General features: G+C 48.8%; 1 protein-coding gene and 1 non-coding gene across 14 annotated transcripts in view; one reads left to right on the top strand and one right to left on the bottom strand.

Moving 5' to 3' along the window:
- GNAS (GNAS complex locus) overlaps positions 1-2,154 on the bottom strand; it is a 71,445-nt gene extending 69,291 nt beyond the window's left edge. For 4 of the 7 annotated variants that reach the window (NM_016592.5, XM_047440113.1, NM_001410912.1 and 1 more), the window contains exon 1: positions 1,016-2,154. In NM_016592.5, coding sequence (NP_057676.1) covers positions 1,058-1,795 — 738 coding nt within the window. In that variant the 5' untranslated portion in view covers positions 1,796-2,154 and the 3' untranslated portion in view covers positions 1,016-1,057. Of the gene's footprint in view, positions 1-26; positions 283-1,015 lie in introns of those variants that run through there. The other 3 variants (XM_047440114.1, XM_047440122.1, NM_001309861.2) reach the window with 1 other exon arrangement.
- Positions 1-16,720, top strand: part of GNAS-AS1 (GNAS antisense RNA 1) — a 31,985-nt gene that overhangs the window by 9,001 nt on the left and 6,264 nt on the right. Inside the window, exon 4 of one of the 7 annotated variants that reach the window (NR_185848.1) lies at positions 15,765-15,877. The exons of 5 other annotated variants lie outside the window; for them this stretch is intronic. This is a non-coding gene — a non-coding RNA (GNAS antisense RNA 1). Of the gene's footprint in view, positions 1-7,233; positions 10,232-15,764; positions 15,878-16,720 lie in introns of those variants that run through there. One more of the 7 variants, NR_190185.1, reaches the window with a different exon arrangement.

Below are 16,720 nucleotides of genomic sequence, written 5' to 3'. Positions count from 1 at the left end.
CCAGCCTGTCCCTTGTTCCGCTTTACCTTTCCACTTGCGACGATCTCGAGGGCCTCCAGAGGTCCTGCGCAAACAGCCCAGGACGTCTCCTGCTAAGCCGCATGCAGCCTGGCCACCCGACCAGCTGCGCCAAAAGCTTGGCAATACCCCGACGTGACCATGCCTGTGCGTTCAACCCTGGTAGCCCGTAGGGGCATCCCCAAGGGTCCCCTTACCTCCTCTACCTTTCCCCCAGGTACTTTCCCCTAACCGCCCGCCGCCGGGAGAGGTCAGCTCCGGCGCGCGCGGGCAGGTGCGCACGCTCTTTGAGGCGGTCTCTGTCCCGCGAGCGACGGGAGGCGGGCTGTGGCGGCCAAGGCTGGCGCACGGCAGCTGGAGGCACTGGCGCGGAGGTCCCGCGGCTTAATTGTCAGCTCTGGGACCTGGGCTCCGGCTCTGAGCTGCTTAGGCGCCGCGCGCGCGTGACTTCCCTCCCGGGTGGTCAGTCTCTAGAGTTCTCGCCCATTCCCATTCAGATTACTTTCCGCACATTTCAACGGTGTCTCTACAGCGCGGCTGCTCTCACATCGTGAAAGTTGGCGCGCGCACCTCCGAACCACATTTTGGACACCTGAGAAGGCCAACTTATTTGAGACTAGTCTTTCTAGGAGGAAGAAAAGCGCGCAAAACAAGTGACTTACCAATGCCGTTTGGGTGTGCAGCTCCAAATCTGGGGTGCGTTCGGGATTCAGTCGCGTAGCCGGGGCACCAGCTCGGAGACCTCAGGTTGTCTCCAGCGGGACGCACGGCGTGCGCCCCGCCGTCCAACAAGCCTTTGGCCACCAGGGCGCCCCTGGCATCCTGGGAAGTTTGGGGGAGCCCTCGCCGCCTCACCCTGACCCCCGATCCCAGGCTGACCAGCTGAGCCTCCTCTCTTCCCACTCGCCCCTGACCTGCCTTTCCTTCTCACCTCCTTTCCACCTGCGCTGCTCCCACACCGCCCTCAGGCTCCCCAGTTTAGCGGTGGGCAACTAACCTGAATCCATGAAAACAAGGAGAATCTGGACGGCGTCCTCCATTAGTGACGCCGGATGGGGATGGGTCCCTTTTTGGAAGGGGACTCCGGGGACGCGTCACGGCGGGTGGGCTTCTTTGGCTTGCAGCGACGCCGCTGCTTCTCCTCCTTGGGCTCCTTCGACTCTTCGGGGTCCCTTGGATCTTTGTCCTCGGGCTTGAGCTCCTCCCCTTCCCTGGGGCTCTGGGGCTCCTGAGTGCTGGGCGGCGCGCGACTTGGGGAGGCGTCGGGGCTTCGCAACTTGAGAGCGTGCAGACGCTGGGTGAGGGACTGGCCGAAGGTGGAGTGCTTGGGCACCACCGGGCCGCGATCGTCTTCAGGCTCGGTCTCGGGCTCAGTGGTGGGGGCGGTCTCAGGCTCGGTCTCGAAGTCGGTCTCGGACTCGATTTCGGACTCGGTCTCGCTCTCGGTCTCGTAGTCGAACTCTTCCTCGTACTCTAGGCACTCGGGGAGGGACAGCTCAAGGTCTGCCTCCTCGTGCTCGTGGTCAGATTCCGATTCGGGGGACTCAGGGAATACCTGGGCGCCGGAGCGGTGGTGGGCGTTAAGGAAGCTCCGGCGCTGTTGGGCAGCCGCGCGCTGCTGGGCACGGGCGTTGGAGGTGGCAAGGGCGCGGAGGAGCGCGATGGAGCAGGAGAGCCAGAGGAGCGCGGTGGCTGCCCGGCGGCCTATGGGCGGGCACAGGTCGTTGTAATTATGGCGAGCTCGGCGCCACTGCTGAGCCCGGGACCTCCGATCCATCCTCTTAGGCACACACCGAGAAGCCGGCCTGCCCTCTGGCTCTGCAGAGAGTGGCTCCGAAGCACATTGGCTGCTGGAGCCGGGAAAGGTACACCCTATGAGGTGAGAAGCTGGCCCGGAGGTCCCAGCCTCACCTCCTTGTGAGGAGAAAAAGGGAAGCACCTACCTTCCTGACCACTTAAGAACTTTCTAAAGCTCCGCGCCTTGCTTGCCTCTCTGAGCAAGAAGAAGGGATGGGAAAAAAGGGGAAAGTTCTGTCTCCTCCCGGGCTCCTCTCGCTGAGTCTTAGATTCCGCAGCCTAAGACTCGAGAGAGGTGCCTCCGCCGGTCCTCTTGCCTGGGAGAGGACAGAGGAGACTGAGGCGAGGAGGGACGGGCAGTGAGGTTCTGCGAAGTTGCGCGCCCGGACTTCTGCCGGGCATGTGCAGTAAGGAGGTGGGGGCCACCTCCCCGCGAGCTGCGTGGTGGCGCCGAGCCTGTGGCGCAGACCCTAGTGGGCCGGCAGGTGGCAGGAGGGAACCTTGTTTGAAAGGATTTGGGCGAAGCGATGGGCGGGGGGCCTGGCGGGTGGCAAGGAGCAAGCGGCAAGCTAGCCCCAGGTCCAGTACTTGGGCAGGTGGGCGCAGGCTCCCGTGGGGTCGTGCCCCTCCCCAGTTTCCCCAGTTATTGGGGAAATAAACACAGCCTGGGAGCAGCTAAAAACCCAGAACCCCAAATAGCAAATATTCAGGGGAATGAGGGTCTGTCTATACACGAGTATTAAGCCTCTAGCATTTTCCAATGGCTTAATAGTTTGAGGATGGTAACTTCGGGCAGCCATTAATCATGAAACTACCTTTAGCAGATCTGTTATAGTGACTGTAATTAGAAAAGTTTCCAAACAATACGTGCTCAAACAGTCTGAATTGGCTAATTACCTCATCTTCTTCAACAAGGGCCCCCACGGTTGAGGTAGTAGTTTGCAAGTCTGCAAGCCCATCTGAGGACTGCCCTGAGCTCGATTGAGCTGAGAAGGTGGTGCTGGAAGTGGACTGGAGCTGAGAGCATGGGTAAAGGGAAGTCTTTCCTGCGCTCTCAGTTCACACAACCACTTCTCTCCTGCGGGGCAGTTCAGGGTGACACGGAATCCTCACTGGAGGCCCCTTACAGCCATTTCCTAGGTAGGTTTTTTTTTTTTTTTTTTTTTTTTTGAGACAGAATCTTGCTCTGTCACCCAAGCTGGAGTGCACTGATGTGATCTTGGGTCACTGCAACCTCTGCCTCCTGGCTTCAAGAGATTCTCCTACCTAAGCCTCCTGAGTAGCTGGGATTACAGGCGTGCACCACTACGCTCGGCTAATTTTTGTAGTTTTAGTAGAGAGGGGTTTCGCCATATTGGCCAGGCTGGTTTCAAACTCCTGACCTCAAGTGATCCGCCCGCCTCGGCCTCCCAAAGTGCTGGGATTACAGGCGTGAGCCACCGCGCCCGGCTCCTAGATAGGTTTTTAACAAAGGTAACTCAGCAATACTCATTGGGTGCCTTGCATGTGCCAAGCTGTGTTTTAGGTGCTGAAGGTAGAGTAGTGAACAACAACAACAAAAGTATTGTATTAAGGAAAGGATATTTTGGATTAATTTGCTGTGAATCAGGAGATTGAATCAGTCAGAATCCCTCTGTACCCACCAACATTGTTTAATCTAGCTTGAATTCCACATGAGAAAATGATTGGATCAGGGCTAGGGGGCGGTCAGACACCACTAGATCGTGTTGTTGTACTCTGCAAGGCTGAAGATTTGGAGTAAATAGTGCCGCTCTTTCTTGGCCCTAGAAAATCAAATGATGGCCTACAGGAGGAGATCCCTACAGTGGGAGCTAACCTGGCTGCTGCTTTTGAGGTGTGCGTGTCTTCAGTCTGGCCCTCCATGATGATTATGGGGTGCCTTTTTGGCCATAGTGACAAGTCCAAAGGCGAAACAACTCAGAGCAAAGCCATCATCCTAAAATCCCTGGGAGTATCAAGAAGGTTGTTTCACTTAGGACACATGTCATGGGTTGTGGTCCTTTTCTCCTTCTTGAGTCAGTATGGGGAATCTTAAAAAAAGAGGCTCTACCACTGGGTGGCCCACCAGGCCCTCCTGGTACTGGTACTTCTGCCTGGTGTCTGAAGAGTCAGTCAGGTACCCACAGCCATTCTCACCATGATGGAACTTAACCTCACACCTTCAACACCACACCCGTATTAAAACCACTAAGTGCAGAGTTCATACCCCAGTGAGAGACCAGCAACTGCTTTGGATGTGTTGAGGTTTTCCTTTCTGCATCTTGGCTGTGTCTAGCTTGTATCTTGCACTCTGTGTTAGTTTGTAGCATTAAAATAGTGATTGGGCTGGGCATGGTGGCTCTCACCTATGATCCCAGCACTTTGGGAGGCCGAGGCGGGTGGGTCACTTGAGGCCAGGAGTTCAAGACCAGCCTGACCAACATGGTGAAATCCTGTCTCTACTAAAAATACAAAAATTAGCCAGGCGTGTTGACGCACGCTTGTAGTTCCAGCTACTCGGGTGGCTGAGCCACAAGAATTGCTTGAACCTGGGAGGTTAGTCTGATAAAGTAGGATTGACTTGTCAAACCCCACAAAAGGACAAATGTCTATGTTCCAGTTGTGCCCTGCTCTACCACTTTTCCTGTGGAACAGCAAGGGTTTTATTATCACAGGTGCCTGCGTGGCTGTAGTCACTGTGTGGATATTATCATGGGACACTGGGCAGGGGCATTTAGAGCTGTATATTTCAAATCCTCATCTCCGCTTCTGAGTCCCAACTAATGGGGCACGTTTCCAGAGAGTCTGCCTACACTGACCCACCCACTTTATTTCTTCTAATTAGCACAGCTCCATCGACAGCATATGGAACAGAAATATATTATTCAAGCTGATTTCAGGGCACGTTGGGGGAAAAATCAGGAATATATGGGTGCTAGTAAATGCCCTTTGAATGGAAACTAATGTCAGCTGTCAGCAACGAGGTAGATTATGATTCTTTAGTGTACATAAGAAAGTACTTCATTCTTCAGATGGAGTGCTTTTATGCCTATAAAGGAGATGGCAGCCCAGAGCTGATTCACTAATATAGATACACCGAGATTGCCTGCATTATTAAAAAATGTGCATTACATAATACATATATTTGGACTAGATTCTGCATTAGCAATGCGCTTTCTTTGCAAGATGCATTTTAATCAGCAAACACACATTTAACAAAAGACTGCATTTTTGAGCCCCAGTCCTGTGTAGTTATAAATACATCTCAGTGTACATTCACCACAGGCTCTGGGAGGAAGGAGTGGGGGACTGCACTGAGATGCCATTCCATCTCACACTTAGTGCCGAGGTCGAGCAAATGGAGCCGTACAGCAGATGCTCTTTAAAATGCATTACGTGCGTGACTTTAAAAAGTGCTCGCTGCAGAGTGAATTTCAAAAAGGAGCAAGTGGGTGATGAACCACCTCTGTTGTTACCGGGCTGAGGAACAAGGGGCTCTCTCTGTCTGCTGGTAAATAAAGTATGGGCATATATCACTTGCGGGTCTCTGCTGGAGGGAGGCTCCTAAACCAGTTGGACAGGAAAGCGCAGTTCCCAGCTCACTACAGTATCATACAGTAAGCTTCTGATTCGGATAAATTGTGAAGAATATTGTCTCTAGCTCCTTAAAGGATTTTCATGTGGAAGAGGCCTTAAGATTTATTATATATGGCTCTAGAGGGCAAAATTAGAACCTATCGGTGGTAGTTGTAGCAGAAAGCCTTCAGCGCAACCCAAAGAAGAATCTGACATGGAGTGGGCTGTCAGAAAGTTGGCGCTTTGTCAGAAGCAATGTGAAGTCAAAGGACAGGTAACCACACACTGGAGATGTTTTTCGTGGTGTGCGTGAGCAAGTGGGGTTGGAACTCGGTGCCCACCGCAGTCTTATCAGGTTAGCCTCTGATTCCATTGAAGGCCTCTGTAGGCTGTGGGAGAAGGGTTTGGGGGCTCTACTGATGGACACGATCCTCCCCCCCGCCCCCACTTTTTACTATTTTGGAAGCATTGAAAGTGCAAGTGGCTCAGTGACAGGAAGGAGTGTTGGGGTGGCAGTTTTAAGACAGGGCAAACAGATGTGTGCAATGGACCCAGCGGCCTGTGGAGCTTTCCTCACCAAGGCAGGGCGTGGAGGCTCTTTGCTCCACAACTCATCACTTGTTGAAGCAAAGAAATGAGTCAAGTCCATCTGTTAATTACATTGGTTCTCTTTGCCTCCTCTCCTGGAGCTGTCTCGGAAATTACAAATGAAATTGGCTATTTAGCAATCATAAATTGAGCCACTTCTATGATCAAGACACTATTCCGGGCACTGTGGGGAGATCGAAGTAATTGAGGATGAGCAATTCCTGCCATCCAACATCACACACATTGATGTGAAGTGCCCCCAAATATTAAAACCAGATTGCTGACAGGTGTAGAGTAATACATTCCAGCCCAGATAGACAGGGAGGGAAGTTGAGTAACTGGTTAGAATCAGAGGTACAGTTCATCTTGTGATTTTCAGAAAGAGATGAGTCTTTACCTAGTCTGACTCTGAGATTTTCTTTTGATTTTTAAAAGCCCATGAGAATTGCTTTCAATCCACTTGTTTCTAACCATGTGTCTACCGTGTGCAAAGCCATGTGCCAGTGGCCCTGGGGGAGACAGATGAATCATGGGTTCTCAGAAGGCTTGCAGGCTATTGTCAGAGGTCCCACAGACCTCAATGCATTTTCTAAGATGAAACTCAAGATAATGGATTGGTTCTGCCCTGCCTGGTGAGCGGGTATAATCACTCTTGAAGATATTTTTTGGATAATCATTGGAAAGGACTATTTTTGGAGATGAAGAGCTTTTCCAACTTTCCTTTGGACAGAAATGAATTCAGGGAGTTTGCAGCACTCGCTACCCCTCACTGTGGCAATCAGCCAGTAAGGCTCAACCCCACCGAGAATTTGGTATTGGCCCCTCCCGCCTGTTCCCCAGAGAGGACCAGGTACAATGCAGAAGCATTTGGCTCAGCTCTCTAGGGTGCTATTTTGCTGCTATTCAGACTGCGCTGATATCAATTGGCTCTCACCAGTAGAAATGGTGAAAACCTCGAGCTCCTGATTTTGAGATTTGGGGGAATGCCATCTAGAGCTAAAAGCAAACAATAGAGGGAAATAATCACCTTTTTGACATGGCTGGTTTCTGTCCAGGCCATTTTTGGGATTACAATACTGTATTTGTGCCATTCGTTTTTAAAGGGCGTAGGATCAGAAAGGAGCCTTCGTTCTGTGCGTAGAGATTGCTCGGAGCTGTCTTCCCAGGAGCTCCCTTACTTTCTCTTCACTTCGTGCTCTGTTGAGCTTCTCCTACTGATAAGTGCCTATCTCCCTCTCTCTCCCTCTGCCACAGGAGGAGCAATTTCTAGACTCTGGATCCAACGGGAAGCATCTAGAAGCCCCCTTGCTCAGGCAAAGCATCAGTACCCAAGAGGGGTACAGGCCCTCTTGGACGTGGTGTCTCATTTCTCTCCCGTGGCCCTGGAGCTTGGCATTCTGTATTCTCCGGTTCAGACCCTGGACTCTGACACCCTGCCTTGCTTCATCTTGAGTTCCGGCTGTCTGCCCAGCCGGACCTACACTGAGCTTGTCTGGTTCTTTCCTGCAGCCAGTTGAGACATCATTGTCCCAGGACACCCCCAGTCTACGGGGTTCTGGCCCCAGATGTCCACCTCTGCCCTGCCCACCAGCAGCCATGCCAGCCAGTGAGCTGTGGGTGAAAACACTGCTGATTGCAAAGGACCACTCAACCGTCAGGAAAGCTCTCGGCTCATAGCTTTGTCTTTTGTCCAGCTGTCCTGGACATCCTATCTTTCCTCTAGCCCCTAGCCCTGACAGAGAGCCTCAAAGTTGTTTTCATCTTATCTGCTGAGGATCTGACTCACCCCATCAGACTTCTGGGAGGGAGAGAGCGAGCGCGCCTCGAGCCCGGAGGGGAGAAACCCTTAGTGTTGTCACGGTTTAGGCACACGCTCATAGAAATCCTTGCAGCTCGAGCTCTTCAAAATATGATTAGACCAATTTTACATGTCTAGTCACTGAGGCTCCAGTAGATTGGGACTATTTCTATATGTGCAAAGTGAAGTGGATAATTGAGGCAATTATCTTCAGGCAAATGAATCTGGGCACTGTAATCAGTCCATCCTGATAACTGGGGAGAAATCGGCGTCATTCACTGTAGCATTGCTTTGCGTTAAAGAGAATTCTAAGGTATTTGTTTGTTATTTTCGCTTGGCTTCATTTTTCTAAAAGACAGTCCAGTGAAGATGAGGTCCTGCCTCGTGCTGGTGTTAGGATGTGTGGACCCCTTAGGTCTCAGTCAGGTGTGTGTGGGGTTGATCTGGACGAGTTGATAATCAGATCAGTGCCCTAGCCGGGTGCATCCTTGGCTTCCTTGTGGTGGATACTTGGTTTCCACATCAGGGTTTTCTTTCCACTTCTTCTTTCCTTGTGTATGAGAACCCTGAGGTGTTGGATGGGTTGGTCTACAAGGTCACCTCCACTGCTAGGATGATAGGATTCCTAATAGGGCCCATGAGTGACATACATTGTGCATGATAAAATATCATGGAGCCAGGAGAATGAAAGAAGGGCCTCTCAACGTCAGAAATGAGAATGCACTGGAGGCTGGTGATTACTTCTGGACCCCCGCTTCCCCATCCATTGTTTCGGCTAAAAGTCATCATAAATTGGGAGTCCTTCCCTTTACTGGTCTAGAAGTTCCCTCAGGAAGCAGCCGTCACTTCTCTCCCTGCTCTTCACTGAGGAGGGAGGGAAGAGGAGCAAGAGAAGACTTTCCGGTTTTCCAAATGGCAGATTTGGTTTCAGGCATGTGAGGAGCCACATATAAAAAGAAAAGGCATTGAGGCATGTGAGATTTGACTTAAGTGGAGGAGATCCTCGCCTTTAAGCAATAATCTGTGTATTTAGGGAGCCAATGGCCCAGCAAGAAGTCCAGCAGTGCCTCCTGAGTGCCTGGGCACCTGGTGGAGATGGTGCAGGGTCCCTGGCAAAAGAGCCTCTGGGACAGGAGTTGTAGCCGCCAGCCTGTGTCACACACTCACACTCACAATTAGAGGACAACGGGAATTTAATTAACTTCCAAAGTGTGATTTTTGACCATAAGCATTCTAGGAATGAGGTGCTGTGTGGGGATTGAGATGAACCTTGGAAAATACTTAAGGAGAGGCTTGTTTTATGCTGTCAGGAAATCTTCATCTTGTCACTTCGTAAATTTTTGACCTTGCTCAGTTAGTTAGAAAAACAAAAACAAAAGCTTCCTGTCCACAACTGAGATAAGAGAGTTTTGCAAGACATCTCTCTGTCCTCGGAGTGTTGTGGCCTTCTGTGGGTTCTGTAGTTTTAATTGCTAGTGGTTTCATTCCTGCTCAGTTAGTGAAATTGCGACATTTTCCCAGTATCTTAGCGTGACTGCCCTACAGCCTTAATAATGATGATTTTAGACTGTAGTTTAAGATCTGCTGGGGCAAATGCCTTCTCACTGCACAGTATCTCAGCATTCTCTGATGTTTTGTCCATTTATTTTTCTATATGAATTTAAGAACCATTTTTATCAAGTTTTATAAATGACCTTGGTGATATTTTGACTGGAATGGCGTTCAATTTATAAATTAAGTTGGGAAATATTATCATCTTTTCTGCATTTAGTCTTAAGCCAGAAGTATGGCCTCTCAATCTGTTCAGGTCACTATTTCTCTCATTAAGGATTTGTGTTTTCTTCATGTAATTTTAATATATCCTATGTGAGTTTGATATGTGAATATATATCATATATTTCCCAAGTATTAGATGCTTTTGTTGCATTGTGAGTGGGCACTCTTTTTTTAATTATATTTTCAGGCCTCTTATTATGTATTTATAGAAATGGTATTGATTTTTGTACGTTTTTCTCATCTTCTGCCACTTTCAGAATTGGTTGGTTTTTGAGGCAACCAGCAGCCTACTCAGGCAAACACTCAGAGAAGGTTTCTGGAGGATTTGGTAGAAGAGACTACCTCATCAGGGAAAGAGTTGAACTAAGTCAGCGGTTCCCAAATGCCAGTCCACAGTGAAATGAGAAAACGAAAGATGTTGTAGTGGGGCTTTCATCAAGCCAAATTTATTCAGGGGAGGGACTTTTGATTTTGATTCTTGATTTTGAGGCTATATAAGCTTCCTGCCTTTTAGAATTTTGATATCATTTCTTTCTAGAAGGATTGTAGATGATAATTAGGGGTTTTGTTTTGCTTTAAGATTTTAGAGTCTTTGAAAATAAATAAATCAGAAATCCTTATAATAAATGAATGAATGAATGAATGAATAAAACTGCTTGAATTCTACCCTCCCCAAAAGATTTTAGATCTTTTTTTGTTTTTGTTTTTTTTTGTTTTTGAGACAGAGTCTCGCTCTATCGCCCAGACTGGAATGCAGTGGCTCAATCTCGGCTCACTGCAAGCTCCACCTCCCCGGTTCATGCCATTCTCCCGGCTAATTTTGTTTTTGTATTTTTAGTAGAGACGAGGTTTCACCATGTTAGCCAGGATGGTCTCCATCTCCTGATCTCGTGATCTGCCCGCCTCGGCCTCCCAAAGTTCTGGGATTACAGGCATGAGCCACTGCGCCCGCTGATGTTGTTTTTTAAATTTTGCTTTTATTTAGTTTTCAGTGACTTTATCTAGCAGATTTTTTTAAAAAAAAGCAAAACAGCTGGCAACCCGATGTGAGTGCCACACATTTCTTTTGAAATATTAGCGTGGTCTGGCCGGGCACAGTGGCTTATGCCACTGTTCGTAGATTTTGGTCTAAAATCTCAAAATCTAGGAACCTCCAATTCGATGTCCTTTGGGTTTTACAGTTGTGATATTTGGTAAATCTGGACTTCTTTTTATATTTTAAAATCATTTTTAGTTTATTCTTTTGGGTTCTTCTAGTTAGTAGTGCCAGTTAGATTGATGTTTTTGTTACTTATTTTGGCTTTCTCTGACTTCATCCTTTGTCTATGCCTTGCGTTGTCCTCTGAAAGTGTGTAGGAGAGAGAAGGGTGAAATGGGGGCACCCTCGTTTTATATCTGTTTTTAAAGGGATTTTTCTCTAATGTCTTTTCTCTGACAGTATTTAGGTGGGCTTCAAAGGGAAAATAGATGGTATCTTATGAGAGGGCTCAACAGAAAGTTTGGAGGTGAGAAACCAGAAGCCAGATTTGGGATCACACAGGCCTGGATATAAATCTTGCCTCCTTCTGCTTGCTAGCTGACCAGTGACTATGCCTGGTGGCGGTGATGGTGCTGGTTATGATGGTGGTGTAGCATTGGTGGTGATGGTAGTGGTGGTTGTGATGGTAGTGGTGATGGTGATGGTGGTGGTGGTGATGGTGGTGTGGTGGTGTGGCGGTGGTGGTGATGGTGGTGTGGTGGTGATGGTGGTGGTGGTGATTGTGGTGGTGGTGGTGTGGTGGTGGTGATGGTGGTGGTGATGGTGGTGCTGATGGTATGATGGTGGTGTGGTGGTGATGATGGTGGTGTGGTGGTGATGGTGGTGATGGTGATGATGGTGGTGTGGTGGTGGTGATGGTGGTGGTGGTAATGATGGTGGTGTGGCGGTGGTGGTGATGGTGGTGTGGCAGTGATGGTGGTGGTGATTGTGGTGATGGTGTTGTGGTGGTGGTGATGGTGGTGTGGTGGTGATGGTGGTGGTGATGATGATGGTGTGGTGGTGGTGGTGATGGTGGTGGTGATGGTGGTGTGGCGGTGGTGGTGATGGTGTGGCGTTGATGGTGGTGGTGGTGATTGTGGTGATGGTGGTGTGGTGGTGGTGGTGATGATGGTGATGTGGTGGTGGTGGTTATGATAGTGGTATAGCAGTGGTGGTGGTGGTGGTATGGTGGTGGTAATGGCCAAGAGGTGAGAGAGTGAGGGGGCAGGAGTTTGAGGAGCCCAGCCATGCAGAAAGAGCCTAAAATAAAGTTGGAGTTGGCAGTCGAGTTGGATTTTTCTTTTTAATTTCACTTTCCAGTTCTCTTTTAGTGGATTCTTAATGGAAAGCCTTAGAAGCTGTAGAGTTTGGTCTGCACAACTGCACTGGATGCCCATTCTAGGTCCTGTACTCTGCGAGGCACTGGGAATACAATGGTGAATGCATGCAGTGAGGGGGATCTGGAAATAATGAGTCATCGCGCTAAGGAAGGTCTCCTTATAACCTAAGCTAAGGGCACTGGAAAAGAAAGATGTTCTTTTGTTTTTTTCCCCCTGAGTATACAGCAGAAGAAGCCACCCTATATTTGGGCAAGGCAGGGAATACTTTACTGAAAAAGTGATACGTGCACACTTGAGCTGAGAACTGAAGGGTGAGCATGTGGCAGCAGGGGGTTGGTGCAGTTCCAAGTTGAGGAGTAGCCAGAGGGTGGTGCAGTTCCAAGCGAGGAATAGTGTATTTGCCAGCTCTCTGGCGGAAAGAAGCTAAGCCTGTTAGGGAAACTCACAGGTCAGCAGAGCTGGAGAACAGAGATGAATCTGGAGGGCTGGGCAGGGATCTCTGGGCCCAACAGGTTAAACTGCAGTCTTTCTGTTGTCTTGAACAGCCATAAACCATGGGAAGCCTTTGTCCTGATGGCCATGAGGGACCAAAATCAAGTTGTCTATTTTAAAGACCTCTCTGGCCACAGAGTACGGGGATGGAATTTGAGAGGAAGCTAGAGTTGATAGTAGCTGGGTCTAGGGAGGTGGTTGGTTTTAGAAATACATAAAGCTGAGGATAGTGAGAGTGGCTTTTAGAGTTATTTAGGAGAGTGTCTTACAAGGCTTGGTGATAACATGGATGTGGGGAATTGGCTGTGTCAGGATGACACCCAGGTAGAACTAGATGGAAGCTAGTACTTTTCACTGAGGTAGAGAAGCAGGGAAAGAGGCCCAGGTGTGAGGTAGCAGGAGGCCATGAGTTCTGCCATGTTGAGTGGGGTGGTGGGGCCAAGAGCTCTGCCATGTTGAGTGGGGCGGTGGGGCCAGGAGCTCTGCCATGTTGAGTGGGGCAGTGGGGCCAGGAGCTCTGCCATGTTGAGTGGGGCGGTGGGGCCAGGAGCTCTGCCATGTTGAGTGGGGCGGTGGGGCCAGGAGCTCTGCCATGTTGAGTGGGGCGGTGGGGCCAGGAGCTCTGCCATGTTGAGTGGGGCGGTGGGGCCAGGAGCTCTGCCATGTTGAGTGGGGTGGTGGGGCTAAGAGTTCTGCCTTTGGTCTGTTGAGAACAAGGTGCCTTTAGGCTGCACGTGACAAGGTATCAAGACAAGGTATCAGACAGGTAGAAAGATGTTCTAGGTCTCGGGCACAGTGGAAAGGCTGTCATAGAAGCAGAAAAAGTCTAGTGCTAAGTGGGAGACAAGAGAGGAACACTCCAAATTGAGTTTCCAACCAAAGTCATTATCAACAGGAGTCATCCTGGAGCTGGATGGCACTGGAGAGATCGAGTCTCAGCCCTTTTATTTTACAAGTAAGGAAACTGAGGCTTAGAGAGGTGGGACCAGCTGGTTAGTGGTAAAGCCACTCTTAGACTGAATTTTTCTAGTCCTAGTTCTATCCCTCAATTGTTTACTACACCAAGCAGAGAATCTTCCCGTGAAGGTGGAACATGAGCCAAGGGCTCAGATGTCAGCCCCCTTGATATCAGATCTATTTTTTGTCAGCAACCAAATGGACAGTTCACAGCTTCACATTCTTTTCTTGATCACTTTAGAACTGACATTCCTCCAGCTCCTTATTAAAGAAAGAGCAAAGCAAGAGCTGGCTAGAAGTGGTTTGGAAGGTAGAAATAGACTATACCATGTCTTTAGTAATCAGCCTGGCAAAGTCCACATGGCAGCCGGGAAGGGTTTGGCCAAGGCTAAAGCCAGTAGGACTTGGTGGCACTCTCTTTTTCTCTTGGTTGTTCCAAAAGCACCAGTTATTACTTAAAATTGGCCCCTAAAATAGGAGCATTAAGGTACAAGAAAGGGAAGTTCATTTTTCTCGAGATCCTTTTTCAAGATGTCTACACTGTGACTGATAACATATCAGCAGCTTCTCCCAGCCATGACTTCTTAACTATAATGTGTAACTGCGCATGCAATTATATGAATTACATGTATTATCTAATAGCTTTAAAATATTCGATAAAGCTAAGGCTAATGTCTGCTTTGATGACCCTGCACCAGCCACAGTTTTCATACATCACCTCTCAAATCCCCCAGAGGTTACCAACTTCACAAATAATGGGTTTCCATAGAGGATGTCATCTTGAAAAACACAAACATAGTTTCATGTGTTTCATTGGGCTTCACATTGCAGCCTTTTCATCTATCTACATATCTTGGAGACCCTTTCCTGCTGATTCCTGTAGGATTTGCCTTGTTCTATTTCACCATCACCTCATCGTCTGGGCTGAATAAAGACAGTCAGCAGTCACATCCCTGTCGACGTGCATTCAGCTCTTGCCACTTTGTCCCTGTTAGAAACTGCACTGCTGACCATGTCGTAGTACACACCTCCATGTAAATGTCACAAGTGTTTCTCTGGAGATGATATCAAGCAGTGGAGCTGCTGCTCATAGGCCAACACAGAGCCTTGGCTACACTGCACTTCTCTACGAGGCAACCAGTGTGTCCCCACCAGCAGGGCCTGAGTATTTGTCTCCCATCCCCTGCTAGCACGACCCTCTTCTTTCTGGTAGAGGAGACAGTAAGACCTGTGGCATCCCCAGGCCCTCTATGAGTCAGGAGAGAGGGCATGGAGCTGTTTTCCTGCTCTGCTTGTGGGGCTGGGTTTCTGAGGCCCATGACCTTGGCTTCATCAATATTTTCTCTAGCCTGTCAAGAAAAGTTGAACTTCAGTGAAATATATCTCAGAAATTTGCCACAAGGAGAGGGCTAGGGAAAACCTAACTAAAAGATGTTAGAAAAGAGAGGCCAAGTGTATCCCAGGTTCTGTGTCCAGTTTCTTTTAGTCCTTCATGAAGGTGACTGAGCTGTTTTAGAAATAACATAGTTCAGCCAGGTGCGGTGCCTCACACCTGTAATCCCAGCACTTTGGGAGGCCGAGGCAGGCAGATCACTTGAGGTCAGGAGTTCAAGACCAGCCTGGCAACATGATGAAACACCATCTCTACTAAAAATACAAAAAAAAAAAAAAAAAAAAAGCCAGGCATGGTGGCGCGCGCCTGTAGTCCCAGCTACTCGGGAGGCTGAGGCAGGCGAATTGCTTGAATCCAGGAGCCAGGATCATGCCACTACACTCCAGCCTGGGTGGCAGAGTGAGACTCTGTCTAAAAAAAGAAAAAAAAAGGAAGAAAAGAAAGAAGTAACATAGTTCAAACTGCCATTGGAGAACTCTTAATAGTGCCCCAATTATAAACCATGCATCTCTCCCCGATTATAAATCATGTATCTCTCCCTCACCATCTGATCATTTTAAACCCAGGTCCCCTCTGCTAATCCAGGATCTAAACAGTTTAAGCCGGGAATGGCCACAATTTAAAGAATGCTCTCCAGCCTTTGAAATTCAGGTCCCTGTTCCCCTTTGGCCCCAAACCCTCCCCCTGCCCACTCGTCGTAGGCATAGATGAGTTAGTCATGGTGTATAACTAGGGTTACCATAACATTTGTCATCCACCTGGGACATTTTTATGCATGAAAGGCAGTGCTAACCAGGGGGATGCTGGGATGACAGGGGCAGCAGAGCAGGCTGTTTGGGCCCCCAGCCCTCCCGTCATGACAGCAGCAGTGTTGTTAATAGTAGTATGACAACATTGCAAAAAAATGTATATGTTCAGTCACATAACTCTACAAATAATTCGTATTAATGTTATTATTATTAGCACTTTTAAAAGAGAAGTAACTTCCCTTCTCCCACTATTTTTAAATAGACTTCAGTGTGCTGAAAGTTCTCCCATTGAGAGCACTTATGCAGTTGGGTGAACTATCTGCATGAAAGTGACATTTGCTCATCTGTCTTTCTCGCTGAAGTCATCGTCTAAAGGTAAGCAAAAGAGCAAGCTCAGGAGAAAGAGAATGGCGCACTCTCAGAGACCTTTCTTGGGGCTGCTGATTGAGAGACACAAGGCCTGTGGCCACCAGTTGTCGTGGCTTTGTGCAGCAGCAGCAGTGGCAGGGACTCTGGGCTTCCATGCTCCCCTCTCGTCCATGCCGGGAGCATTGCAGCCTCTCCTAGCAGGGCTAGGATGCCCCACAGCTCTGGGCCTTGAACAGGGTAGGGTCCGTTCAGACTGGGGGTTATGAGTGGCCTTTGTTGGCAGAGACTACAGTTAAAACCATCTAAGCGCAAAAGTACCTTAGAAATTAGAACAAAAATTCCACCCCTTTAGGAATATCGAGGTCATTTTTGCTGACTTCAATTATTTTCGCACCACCTTCACGGTTTTTGCCATATTCCAATACTGAACTGCACTTCACACTTCTCTCTAAGTCAGCTGTTTTTTTATGTAAATACATTGGTTTTTAAAGGAAAATTATACAACTGCTATTGAAAGATTACCAGTATCCCTGGCGTCTGGTTAAGTATTTTAAAAATACTCATGAAGACAAGTGCATGCTCTGGAAATGGCAGCGTGGCTGATGTCCCTCCAGGTGCAGCCCTGAGCACCTCCTTGATCCTGTCCCCATCCACCCAGTCTCTTCATTGACCTGAGAAATGCTCATCTGGACTCTAGGAGAGATGGTGAGAGATGGTCTTCTAGGACACAAAGATTTCCCACCAAAGGGGATAAATGAGGTTTTGCTCCCAGTGTCTGGTCAGGTGCCTCTTAGCTAAGGAGAGGTAGGAAGAGTTCTCATTCCAACCAGCGGAAGCCTGTTGAGTTTC

This window comes from Homo sapiens, chromosome 20 (genome assembly GCF_000001405.40).
Source record: "Homo sapiens chromosome 20, GRCh38.p14 Primary Assembly".
Classification (NCBI taxonomy): Eukaryota; Metazoa; Chordata; class Mammalia; order Primates; family Hominidae; genus Homo; species Homo sapiens.
The sequence above is the reverse complement of the archived record's forward strand: the minus strand, read 5'-3'. Positions and strand labels throughout refer to the sequence as shown.